General features: G+C 40.5%; 1 long non-coding RNA gene across 1 annotated transcript in view; it reads right to left on the reverse strand.

The window, feature by feature from the left end:
• LOC105375864 (uncharacterized) overlaps window positions 1-14,248 on the reverse strand; it is a 79,123-nt gene that overhangs the window by 12,569 nt on the left and 52,306 nt on the right. Inside the window, exon 6 of the long non-coding RNA XR_001745925.1 lies at window positions 1,804-1,880. This is a non-coding gene — a long non-coding RNA (uncharacterized LOC105375864). The remainder of the gene's footprint in view (window positions 1-1,803; window positions 1,881-14,248) is intronic.

Here is a 14,248-nt window from a genome sequence, read left to right on the forward strand (position 1 = left end):
CATGCACCTGTAATCTCAGCTACGTGGGAAGCTGAGGAAGGAGAATCGCTTTCACCCATGAGGTGGAGGTTGCAATGAGCCAAGATTGCACCACTGCACTCCAGCCTGGGTGACAGAATGAGACTTTGTCTCAAAAAAAAAAAAAAAAAAAAAGCTTTCAGGCAAAAAAAATAACTGAAATGTATTGTTTCATATGCTGCACATTTTGAAGTCCAAAGTCCTATTCTTACAGAGCGCCTCTAAACCACAAAAGATCTGAATTCATTATTATTTTATATTTTTAAACCATTAATTTTGTCCTCCCTGGGAACTGCTCCAGCCTGGATAACCTTCCCCTCTGTAAGGGAAGCCTGATGAGGACCTTGTGTTCCTGACTCACACACACATCCAAACCCTTCTGTATTTGGGGTTGATAGAAACCTTGTGCCTTGGGGATGACTATGAGAAAATGGCCCCTGCTGCATTCCAGAACATCTTACCAACAGGAAACTTTTGTTTCTTGGTTACACAAAAATACAGAACTGTCTTTCTTTGCATCTATTGAAAAGAAACTTTTGTCTTCTTGGCTTCCAAGAATATCCAGGCCTGTCTCCTTTTCCAATAGACTGAAATGCAATTCCACCCCCCACCCCCTTTTTTTCTTTTCGTAACTGCTTTGGTACTAACAGATGATTGTTATGGGACCAAACCAATTTGTGCAAAAAAATGCGAGTTTTCATAGCATAAGTTGGAAAAGGAATCCCTTGTGGATATAGCTAGATAAATCCAATGGACAAACACCCACAAAATCAGACCCTAATTAAAGTTTCCAAGGAGATATCCAGGCACATTCTAGTTGGTAAATTATGCGGTGTCTGTACATTAGAGATAGATGTGTTTACCAAATCCTGGAATAATAAAATTAAGAAAGTTCCTCTTGGAGATTAAAAGATGTAATTTTAAGAAATATGAAAAAGTCTACTTTATGCAATTACTAAGCCTAGAAAAATTATATATGTTGACAAATTTATAGTTTCAAGAAAGATTTAGATATAGTCATGGGTTCAGTAGCCAGTGGATACACTGCAAAAGGAACACGTAAGGATATGTATGCCTCTGGGATCTAACACACTGGGAAGTTGTGTCCCATCACTAAATGTCCTTTATAATAATACAAGAATCTGAAACACCACCTTTGATTTATTCTTACATTAATATTTATATACACTCAGTAAAATTTGTAGAAGTACCTTTGTTGAAAGCATTGGGACTCAGAAAACAGTACCCCAAAATATGACACTTTGGCCTGCTGAGTACATTGAACTAAAAGGGATTGAGGAGCCTCAGAAGCAGCCTCAAAAGGAATGCCTCTCTCCGACCTTCTCCTGTCCTTTTGTCTCCTGTCCCTCTGTCTCCCCCACAAAGGAGTCATAGAAACCAGAATTTCTCTTCCCCAAGGAGGTGTGTAGAAACTAGAACCCCTATCCCCCAAAAGAAGCCATAAAACCTAGAAAGGGCACACTCTCTGTATTCTCCCTGGAAGATGCTCATTCCAGAGAGGTCCTGCCCCATACCCAGGAGAAAGAAATGCTACATAGAGAGGCCAGGAAGGCTTGGAACAGACAGGCTTTGCTGGGTTTCCCCATCAGTCTGTTCCCATTAGGTCACACCCTTTTGTCCAATCACATTTCTACACCATTGCCCATTCTTCATCGAACCCAATCATAAAAACAGAAGTTTTCCCCAGGTCTTTGGGTCTTCATTCTGAAAGCTCCCATGTCATATAAAACTTTGATAAATTTGTTACACTTTTCTCTCATTCACCTGTCTGTCTTTTGTCACAGGAGTATCGGCAGTGACCCTCATGATGGGTGAGGAAACATATCACACCCTTTCTTCCCCTAAAAAAGAGAAATGCAAATAAACATTAGGAGCCCAATAATGAGATAATGATGTAGAGGAAATAGTGCATGAAGACTCAGAAAGTCAGGATCATTTGGAGTCAATCCAGAAAGTCTCAGCTTCACTGCACAAAGGCCACTGTTTCACAATAATGAATAAGAAACATCAAAAGCATATATCCATTGTAAAGAGAAGCATTTTGTTTCTCTAAACCAGGGGTTTTCTAATTGTGGTCCTTGGACCAGCAGCACAGGCATCACCTGAGAAGTGGTTAGAAATGCAAATTCCTGGGCTCCATTCCAGACCCAGGGAATCAGAAGCTCTGGGGAGGCTAAATTTGAGGACCACGGACCTAGATCTGTGCTGTCCAGTAGGACAGTCACCAGGAGCCACATGTCTTTACGGGATATTTGAAACATGGCTAGTCCAAATTGAAACATGCTGGCAAATGTAAGAAACACACTGGATTTTAGAAAATTAGTACAGAAAAAAAGAAGGTAAACTATTTCATTAATGTTTTTATATTGATTACATATTGAAATAATAATGATTTGGATATACTGCATTATACAGGGTATATTACTAAAATCAATTTAGTCCATTTCTTTTTACTTTTTTTTTGATCTGGCTACAAGAAAATTTACAGTTACATATGACTTGCATTATATTTCTATAGGAAAACACTGGTCTATTGCAAACCTCTTAAAAGTGTAAAAATTGCCTCCACAAAATTCCTGTGAACCCAGAAAATCTGAGACAGGTCTCAGTTAATTTAGAGAGTTTATTTTGCCAAGGTTGAGGACGCACCTGTGACACAGCCTCAGGAAGTCCTCACAACATGTGCCCAAGGTGGTCAGGGCACTGCTTGGTTTTATACACTTTACAGAGACATGAGCTATCAATCAATATATGTAAGAAGGACATTAATTCCATCCAGAAAGGCAGAGATAACTCAAAACAAGTCCCCCACCCCCTCGCCCCCCGCCCCCAGAGGCTTCCAGGTCACAGGTAGGTGAGAGACAAATGGTTGCATTCTTCTGAGTTTCTGATAAGTCTTTCCAAAGGAAGCAATCAGAGTTTGCATCTATCCTAGTGAGCAGAGGGATGACTTTGAATAGAATGGGAGGCAGATTTGCCCTGAGCAGTTCCCAGCTTGAAAGGGCCCAAGATATTTTACTTTCACGTTTCTCCCCTTTTCTTTTTTAAAATCTTGGAGAAAGCATTTTACAAGAAAATGAGTCTCTTTTCAGGTTTCATCTGATCTCTCATGACTAGGAGGGTTTTTTCCTAGACGTGTAGGCCCCCAAAGCTCATTTTTAGCAGGTTGTTAAGTCTCAGGTCCTATGAAGAGAAAATAGGGGGAGGAAGAGAGAAAAACAATAACAAACAAAAGGGCAATCCTAGAAACATTGAGATAGGCCACATTACTCTGAGGTCCATACATTAGTAGGCAGGTATGAAAGTGACTTATCTATGTAAATAAGTTGCTGTTATTTTCTTTTAAAGTTCAGGTTGTCTGACTTCAGTTCCCAGGGCTTAATGTTTGACTTCAAATTAGGAAAAATGGGAAAAAAGGAAAAAAATTGAAAACATTATTTTGAAGACTCGTAGCCAAGAAAAATTAGAATTTGGTTCAAAATGTAGAAAATAATAAAAATGGAAAAAACATTAGGCAAGACTAGAATCTAACAATAGGTGTACTATAGTTTTGAAACACAATTTTTCTCTCTCTGGTTTCCCATTTTTACTAAAGACAGATCATGGCAGGACAGTTTTGCGTTATTATACTTGGCCTAATAATTTGTATACAGTGCAGCCAGAATAATTTGGTGTTTTTTTTTACATAGGTTTTAAATTGGCTTTGATGGAACTTTGTTCCATAAAAGGAATCTCACATAAGACTTTTTAAAGCTGAAGCCAGCCATGGGTTTGTGCCATCAAATATCTATGAGTTGGGTGAATTTCCTCTTCTCTTGAGATTCCAAGATAAACCTGGGGCTTCTAGATCTGTCAATAAATGACTTTCTTTACTAACCACAGGTCAGAAACCCTGTACAGGGACTGTGTACACAAAATATGGGGCCAGTTTTTCCAAGGGCTTTATTGGCTCCATAAGTCTGATTCCTTAAAGGAAAGCACATCATTCCAGCCAAAGCCTTGGTAAAATAACCAGTTTCTCCAGTTGTGTCTTGTTACAAAAGAAAACAGGTTCTTATTGCACTTATGCAAATAACTGTATTGCCATAATTTGGGAATACTCACAAATAGTTTCCAGATTCTGGAGAAATCAGGTAGAGAGCAACAAATATGCTCCAAATTTTGTTCATGGGAGTATATTAAATTGTTAAAAGCTGTCAATAGCTCAAAAGAAAAGTTGTGAGACTCTGAAAAATAAGACAAAGGATCAGCAAACATTTTAAGCAAAAAGTCAAAAAGATTAGTTTAGTCCATGTAGTTAATTCCTGTTCTGCTTGATATTCGTGAACTTTTTAGGTCTCCATTAATCCTGAAAGTTTCATCTCTATTCCGAAGTTACAGTCTCCAAAGTTATCAGAGACCTGCATTCAAGAGCACCTGTTGTATAGCTGATTATAAAACCACCTTCTAAAAAGGACCAAAACTAGACAACAATGGTCCATGGGTGATGAAAAGTTTTAGGGCAACTGTAGTCAAAGACACAATTGACAAAAAAATTTGTTGGCATGCAATAATTTTAACATAACAATTACTATTATTACTGATAATATACACTAAGTTATATCAGAATTATAGGAGTTTCCCATAATTTTGGAACACATATCAATAACATAGTTATACCATATGCCCAAAGAAAACACAACACCATTTCATATTTGACAATGCTTCCTGTATAATTTTTGTACCAAATAAGCCAAATTATGTTTTTTTTTTTTTTTTGGACTTTAGGGAACCTAATATCTTAAAGGATTGATTCGGTCAGAAAAAAAAACATAATTTATAATTTGATTTAGGAAAGCTTGTCAAATATCAAAGGTTTCAAATATTTGATATCACAAAATAGGATCACAGGTCATTGTAAAATAAGTCATTCATTTAACCAAAGTGATAACTCAAAGATTTCAAAAAAAAAAAGGTGAAAACTTTTATTTTTTGAGAGAGGAAAGTTAATTTTCCAAACAATATTAAAAACAGCATGAAGACAATCAAATTTGTTTTCCAAAATTTTATTAAAAATCTATAAAACTTTAATCTTGACCATAAGATATAGCTTACATAAGCCTTTTAAAACCTTTATAACCTTTGTTAAGGAATTGGTTAATGCTTCAAGAAAACCTTGATACTCACAGGGGCCCATATGCTGGTCTTGCATCAGTGTGTCTTTGATATTAATGATTAATTTATAGAGAAACTGAACTTATGTTATCTTCCAAAATTGGCCCTTACAATCATATGTGCCCACCTCTTCCATGATAGTCCCCGGGCCTTGAGGAGTTGAATAGTTTTAATTTCTTCCCCTGTGTCTCAGGAATGCAGTTTATTTTGTTTGACATCTTCTACAGGGCCCGAAGGTGAGGCTTTAATTGCTCTCAGTGATGTAGCAGGACTTGATGTCCTTTTTAGATCCAGGAGTCAAAGCCCTGTAACTCAATGTCACAAGGACTTTAAAAGCACATACAGGAAGATACATGGGTGGAATAACCTTAAAATTTTTTTTTCTGTTTCTGTCTTCCTAAGCAAACCAAAACAATATGATAACTTGATCATATTAAAGTTTTGGGTTTTTTTTTTTCAATATAAATCCTCTTACTCTGACTTACACTGACTGTTCATGACATGCTCAGACTTTCTGGTTTGTCCTGAACATACCTCTTTCTTAAACAACCAGTAGTTTTATTTTAGGACTAAATTTACCATACAAGATTCTCATATAAAATTTTTTCTCTTTCAGCTTTCTTACCGCAACAACAGTGAAAAAATACCTCTTTTATTTTCTGGTTCCTTTTACCTTGTTTTATATATAACCTTTAAATAAGCTTTGAATTAGACAAAAGTTGTTCACCTTTTTTTAATAAGGGCACAGTTTTTTTTTATTTTTTTATTTTTAGCAAGAATGTTTTCCTACTATATATTTATTGGAAAATAACCAATGTATGAGTCTGTTTTCATGCTGCTGATAAAGACATACCCAAGACTGGGCAATTTACAAAAGAAAGAGGTTCCACATGACTGGGGATGCCTCACAATCCTGGTGGAAGGCCAGGGGGAACAAGTCATGTCTTACATGGATAGTAGCAGCCAAAGAGAGAGAGCTTGTGCAGGGAAACTCCCATTTTTAAAGCCATCAGATCTCATGAGACTTATTCACTATCACGAGAACAGCACAGGAAAGAACAGTCCCCATGATGCAATTACATCCCACCAGGTTCCTCCCATGACACATGGGAATTGTAGGACTTACAATTCAAGATGAGACTTGGGTGGGGACACAGCCAAACCATATCACCCAAATAATGAAATATCTATTTATTAATTTAATATAACTTTACATTCTAAATTATGATCAGTTTGTCTACAAGTATTTAGCCCATTACATTTACCTAATTATTTTATTTTAATTGTTTACCAAATTATTTAGGAAAACTGTGAGAGTCATGATTTAAAGTTATAAAACTGCCATTGCATAATAACTGAAAGAGTGAAAAAAGGTTTGACCCAAATGACTCCATCTTGTTCTTAACCTCCAAGCTGTTCTTGTTCAATCCTGGGCATAGGCCAAACTAACTTTCAGGGAAACTTAGTTTACAGCTTAACTTTGAAACAAAGACTATAACAGTCCTTTCCCAAAGCAAACCTCCTTCTTTCCTGTGGACTAGACTGCCCAAAGCTACAAGATTAGAAATTTTGGTAATCTTACTAAATTTAAGATGTGGCTATTTCCATTAAACCAATATCAATATCTTATTTATTAAAAATTTCAAAAGGAAAAATTATTCTGTTTTGGGCTGGGTTTATAGTTTCGTAAACCCTGTGCCAAAATTTGACACTTATAGTGTTTGGCAGGGATAAGTATGAAATTACTTGATTAATGACTGCCAACAAAAAAGTATACTGGCAATTCTTAAGACATTTCTAATATTACTTTGTCAATAATTTTAAAGCTAGCTTATTTGTTAAAGATTTTACTTAAATTACATAAACTTGAAAAAGCATTTGACTAGTCTTTTCCTTTTTAGTATCTGATTTAAGCACTTTTATTTTTAAGCAATTAATTAGAGCTCTTTTACATATTTTTAGTAGTGAAACATTGTGTACACAACACATAAATAGATAGGCATGCTGATAGAAGTACATTTTACAGATTCATAAAAACCCTTTACTTCCATTCTTAGAATTTCAGATTCTTGATAACCTGTTTTTACAAACCTGGGCAGTTGTCAACTAAATAGCCTTAAATTTGCATGTTAAAAGAAGCAACTCAGGTGAAAGTCAAATACCAAAATTTACACTACAAGGTGCAGAGAGAAAAGTTTCCTATGTTAGAGGGAAATTAAAATGGATCTAATTGCCAATTAAACACAAAATTATAGAAATTATAAAGGCCTTTTAAAAATACACACACACACACACAGATCCTATAGCTTTTACTTCAGAACTTTTAGCCATAAGATAATTACAAATTACCAGCTTGCAAAAAGAACTTGTTGGATCTAAACAATGGTTTTTATCTTCATAGAAAAATAGGGCCAGGCACAGTGGCTCATGCCTGTAATCCCAGCATTTTGGGAGGTGGGCGGATCACGAGGTCAGGAGTTCGAGACCAGCCTGGCCAACATGGTGAAAACCTGTCTTTACTAAAAATACAAAAATTAGCTGTGTGTGGTGGTGCACACAAAATAAAAAGAGAAGAAAAATCACAGCAGATTTAGAGCAGGCAGAAAAGAAAAAGTTGAGAAAATGAGGACTTAAAACTCTATAGTTTGCAAGTCGTGTGAAGAGACCACCAAACAGGCTTTGTGTGAGCAATAAAGCTTTTTAATCACCTGGGTGCAGGTGGGCTGAGTCCGAAAAAAGAGTCAGTGAAGGGAGATAGGGATGGGGCCGTTTTATAGGATTTGGGTGGTTAGTGGAAAATTACAGTCTAAGGGGGTTTTTCTCTTGCGGGCAGGCACAGGGGTCACCAGGTGCTCAGTGGGGGAGCTTCTGAGCCAGGAGAAGGAATTTCACAAGGTTAATTGCTCAGTTAAGGTGGGGCAGGAACAAATCACAATGGTGGAATGTCATCAGTTAAGGCAGGAACCAGCCATTTTTACTTCTTTTGTGATTCTTCACTTGCTTCAGGCCATCTGGATGCATTCATGCAGTTTACAAGGGATATGATGGCTTAGCTTGGGCTCAGAGGCCTGACATACCTGTCTTCTTATATTAATATGACAAATAACATAAAATAGTGTTGAAGTGTTGGGGCAGTGAAAATTTTGGGGAGGTGGTATGGAGAGATAATGGGCGATGTTTCTCAGAGCTGCTTTGAGCAGGATTAGGGGCGGCATGGGAACCTAGAGTAGGACAGATTAAGTTGAAGGAAGATTTTGTGGTAATGGGTGATATTATGGGGTTGTTAGAAGGAGCATTTGTCATACAGAATGATTGGTGATGGCCTGGATATGGTTTTGGATGAATTAAGAAATGGAAGACACAAGGTCCGAATAACAGAAGGAGAAAAACAGCTATTAAAGGACTAAGAATGGGGAGGACCCAGGACATCCAATTAGAGAGTGCCCAAGGGGGTTCAGCATAATTACTTGCTTGGTTGGCAAGTTTTTAGGCTCTATCCTTGAGTTTTTTGTGTTGTCATATACCAGGCCATATTGATTTAGGTAAAAACAACCCTTCTTATTTAAAATATGCAGAGTCCCCTTTTTTTAGCAGTGAGTAAGTCAAGGCCTCCATGATTTTGGAGGAAAGAGAAATGTAAACCCAGAAATTGTTTGTTAAAGAAGGATTAGAAACGGTAGGAGAGAGTGAGATTGATAGTGTGGTGGAGATAGCTGGGGAGAGGTAGAGGGTGGCATAAGAACGGAACCAAGAATAAGAGTGAGTATAAAAGTAAAGAATAGGACTTTATCAGGGTGAAAGTATTGGAGGGTGCCCTGCCAGCAAAGATTATTTATTCACTTTAAGAGGGAGTTAAGAGTGTTGGTTTGGGGATAGCACCAGGAGATATCAGCTGTGATGGCTTGGAGAAACAGTGTAAACCGGCAGTATAAACAAGAGCAGGGCATTTATGAGTAGTTGAGAACAGTGAATAGGAGTATGACTAGAAAGAAGATAGTAGGGATCATGAGCTTTTGGGGTGCAGTTCAAGTTGGGCTGGTGTCTGGAATGAGACTGGGGCCTAATAAAAAGGAGTATCCATACAGGAGCTCAAATGGGCTGTACCCTGTAGCATCCCAAGGACAGGCTTCAATTCTGAGAAGTGCAAGAGGCAAAACTACTGTCCAGTCCTTTTTAAGTTGAAGGTTGAGCTTGGCGAGGTGTGTCTTTAAAAGACTATTAGTCCATTTTACCTTTCCTGAAGATTGAGGACAGTAAGGGGTATGAAGTTTCCACTGAATACCAAGAGCCTGAGAAACTGCTTGGGTGATTTGACTAGTAAAGGCCAGTCCGTTATTGGACTGTATAGAGGTGGGAAGCCAAACCAAGGAATTATGTCTGACAGAAGAGAAGAAATGACTGCAGTAGCCTTCTCAGACCCTGTGGGAAAGGCCTCTACCCATCTAGTGAAAATGTATACCCAGACCAAGAGGTATTTTAGTTTCCTGACTCGGGGTATGTGAGTAAAGTCAATTTGCCAGTCCTAGGCAAGGGCAAATCCCCGAACTTGATGTGTAGGGAAGGGAGGGGGCCTGCAAAATTCCTGAGGAGTAGTAGAATAGCAGATGGAACACTGAGAAGTGATTTTTTGAGGATAGATTTTTACTATGGAAAGGAAAAGAGAGGTTTTAAGAGGCGGGCTAGTGGCTTGTAACTTACGTGGAAGAGGTTATGAAATGACGACGGAATAGCATGGGCCTCTGAGGCTGGAAGGAGATATTTTCCTTGGTTCAACAACTATTTGCCTTGTGTGGGAAGAGATTGATAGGTGGAAGTTTCAGTGGGGGAGTAGGTGGGAATGACTGATGAGAAGGAGAAAAATTGGCCATGAAAGACAGAAGTTGGAACGCTAGCTGCTTTTTTAGCTACCTTATCAGCACAAGCATTGCTCTGAGCAATGGGATCTGATGCCTTTTGATGGCCCTTGCAGTGAATGACTTCAGCTTCCTTTGGAAGTAAAGTGGCCTTGAGAAGAGTTTTTATTAAAGAGGCATTAATGATGGAGGACCCTTATGTAGTAAGGAAACCTCTTTCTGCCCATATAACAGAATGGTGGTCCAGGATATGGAAGGCATATTTAGAGTCAGTATAAATATTGATGCGTAGTCCCTTTGAAAGAGTGAGGGCTTGAGTTAAGGCAATGAGTTCAGCTTGCTGAGAGGAGTGGAGCAGGGGAGAGTGGTAGCCTCAATGATAGATGTGGAAGATACTACAGCATAGCCTGCCTTTGCTTGTGAGTGATGATTAGGCCTAGTGGAACTGCCATCAATAAACCAAGTGTGATCAGGGTGAGGGGCAGGAAAGAAGGAAATATGGGGAAATGGAGTGAATGTCAGGTGGATCAGAGAGATACAGTCATGGAGGTCAGGTGGGGCATCCGGAATAATGTGGGAGGCCGAATTGAAGTCTGGGTCAGGAACAATGGTAATTGTGGGAGACTCAACAAAGAGTGAGTATAACTGAAGGAGCTGGGGAGCAGAAAGTATATGCATCAGGTGTGAGGAAGTAAATAGATTTTGGAAGTTATGAGAACTGTAGAGAGTGAGTTGAGCATAGTTTGTGATTTTGAGGGCCTCTAAAAGTATTAGGGTGGCGGTAGCCCCTGCACAGGAACATCATGGCCAGCCTAAAATGGTAAGATCAAGTTGTTTAGACAAAAAGGCTACAGGGTGCAGTCCCAGTCCTTCCGTGAGAATTTTGACTGCACAGCCCTGCACTTCGGCTGTGTGTAATGAAAAGGGTTGGGATGAGTCAGGGAGAGCTAGTGTGGGAGCAGTCTCTAAAGCTGTCTTCAAGGAACGGAAAGAGGAGTGGGGAAAGGATTTAGGAACTATGGGGTTAGCTAAGTTTCCTTTTGTGAGTTTATATAATGGTTTTGTTAGGATGGCAAAAGCAGGTATCCAAAGGTGAAAGTATCCAACCATGCCTAGGAAGGAAATGAGTTATTTTGTAGAAGGTGTTGGGGTTTGGGAGATTAGCCAGACATGATCAGCAGGGAGAGCACGTGTGTTTTCATGAAGGACTATGCCAAGATAGGTAATGGATGAGGAAGAAATTTGGGCTTCACCGAAGTAATGGGGGCTGTCTGTGAAGCCTTGCGGCAGTACAGCCCAGGTAATTTGCTGAGCCTGATGGGTGTCAGGGTCAGTCCAAGTGAAAGTGAAGAGAGGCTGGGATGAAGGGTGCAAAGGAATAGTAAAGAAAGCATGTTTGAGATCCAGAACAGAATAATGGGTTGTGGAGGGGTTGTGGAGGGAGATATTGAGGATAGAAGGGTATATGGGTTTGGCACCATGGGATGGATAGGGAAAACAATTTGGTCAATAAGGTGCAGATCCTGAACTAACTTGTAAGACTTGTCTGATTTTTGGACAGGTAAAATGGGGGGATTGTAAGGAGAGTTTATAGGCTTTAAAAGGCCATGCTGTAACAGGTGAGTGATAACAGGCTTTAATCTTTTTAAAGCCTGCTGTAGGATGGGATATTGGTGTTGAGCAGGGTAAGGATGATTAGGTTTTAATGGGATGGTAAGGGGTGCATGATCGGTCACTAAGGAGGGAGTAGAGGTGTCCCATACTTGTGGATTAAGGTGGGGAGATACAAGGGGAGGATATGAAGGAGGCTTTGAACTGGGGAAAAGGGAGGCAATGAGGTGTGGCTGTAGCCTAGAAATAGTCAGGGAAGCAGATAATTTAGTTAAAATGTCTTGACCTAATAAGGGAGCTGGGCAGGTGAGGATAACTAAAAAGGAGTGCATAAAAGAATGTTGTCCAAGTTGGCATCAGAGTTGGGGAGTTTTAAGAGGTTTAGAAGCCTGGCCATCAATACCCACAACAGTTATGGAGGCAAAGGAAACAGGCCTTGAAGAGAAGGTAATGTGGAGTGTGTAGCCTTCATATTGATTAAGAAGGGGACAGACTTACCCTCCACTGCAAGAGTTACTGAAAGTGTCTGTGATGGTCCAAGAGGCTTCTGAGGAGATCAGCCCGCGTCAGTCTTCAGCCGCTAAGCTGAGACGATCTGGGAAGGAGTCAGTCAGAGAGCCTTGGGCCTGAGTTCCAGGGGCTCTGGGAGTGGCTGCTGGGCGAGTTGGACATTCTGATTTCCAGTGGGGTCCCGCATAGATGGGACATGGCTTAGAAGGAATCCTGGGCTGTGGGCATTCCTTGGCCCAGTGGCCAGACTTCTGGCACTTGAAGCAAGATCCTGATGGAGGAGGTCCTGTAGGAATGCTTGACCACTGTGGCTTAGGAATTTTGAAGTTCTTTTGTGCCAGAGATGTGGCTAGGGTTTCTCTCACAGTGGAGGCAAGGAATTGCAACTCAGAAATATGTTGCTACTTGGCTGCCTCTACTCTGTTATTGTACACCTTGAAGGCGAGGTTAATTAAATCCTGCTGTGGGGTTTGAGGACCGGAATCTAATTTTTGGAGCTTTATTTAATGTCAGGAGTGGATTGGGTAATAAAATGCATATTGAGAATAAGACAGCCTTCTGACCCTCCAGGGTCTAGGGGTGTAAAGCCTCACAGGGTTGCGGCCAAATGAGCCATGAACTGGGCTGGGTTTTTATATTTCATGAAAAAGAGCCTAAATGCTAACTGATTTGGGAGAGGTCGGATAAAGAAAAAGGAGCATTAACCTTGACTATGCCTTTAGCTCCAGCCACCTCTTTAAGAGGAAATTGTTGGGCAGGTGGGGGAGGGCTAGTCATGGAATGAAACTGTAAGCTGGACTGGGTGTGAGGAGGGGAGGTGATAGAGGGATTATAGGGTGGGAAAGCGGAGGCCGAGGAAGAATTGGAGCCTGATTCAGCCTGACGGTAAGCGACCTGAGGAGGAGCAGCCTGGGGAGGAGGGGAGAGGTCAGATGAGTCGGTAGAAAAGGAAGATTGAAAAGACTCAGTGACACATGGGGTTGGGACTGAGGGGACAGGCAGGAGGGAAAGAAGGAAGATTTGGGATTAGTTACATTGGGAACAGAGACTAGGGAGGGACCAATGTGTAAAAGAATGCCTGGACGTCAGGCACCTCAGACCTTTTGCCCATTTTATGACAAGAAGTATCTAGATCTTGTAGGATGGAGAAATTGAAAGTGCCATTTTCTAGCTATTTGGAACCATTGTCGGGTTTGTATTGGGGTCAAGCGGTCAAGAAGAAAATAGGTGTTTAGGTTTTAGGTCAAGTGTGAGTTGAAGAGCTTTTAAGTTCTTGAAAACACAGGCTAAGGGAGAAGAAGGAGGAATGGAGGGTGGAAGGTTGCCTATAGTGAAGGAGACAAGCCCAGAGATGAGAGGGTAGAGACATGGGAGAAGGGGTGGGGGGTGCTTGCCCCCCAGGAAAGTGGTGCTTGCTACTAAGGGTGAAGGATCAAGGCAGGTGTCCCTGCAGTGATTAGACACCTCTGAAACGTAGGTAAATAATCAAGCAGGCCTCCCCGCAGTGATTAAACACCAAGGGAAGACTGTCTTCCTGAGTCCGTGACTGGCGCCAGAGTTTTGGGTTCATGGATAAAACACATCTTCTCTGTCTCTACCAGAAAAGGAAAGGAGCTGAAATTAAAAGAAGGGAGAGATTGAAGGATGGTGCCAAGATTGAAAGGAGAAAGAGGTTGAGGGATAGTGAGAGAGGCTGGATAAGAGAATAAAAAGAGGCCACTTACCTGATTTAAAATTGGTGAGATGTTCCTTGGGCTGGTTGGTCTGAGGACCTGAGGTCACAGGTGCATCTTTCTCATGGAGCAAAGAGCAGGAGGACAGGGGATTGATCTCCCAAGGGAGGTCTCCCGATCCAAGTCATGGCACCAAATGTCAAGAGCGTCCGTGTGAAGAGACCACCAAACAGGCTTTGTGTGAGTAATAAAGCTTTTTAATCACCTGGGTGCAGGCAGGCTGAGTCCGAAAAGAGAGTCAGTGAAGGGAGATGAGATAGGTGTGGGGCCGTTTTATAGGATTTGGGTGGGTAGTGGAAAATTACAGTCTAAGGGGGTTGTTCTTTGGTGGGCAGAGTGGGGGGTCAC

Source organism: Homo sapiens, chromosome 8, assembly GCF_000001405.40.
Source record: "Homo sapiens chromosome 8, GRCh38.p14 Primary Assembly".
Taxonomy (NCBI): Eukaryota; Metazoa; Chordata; class Mammalia; order Primates; family Hominidae; genus Homo; species Homo sapiens.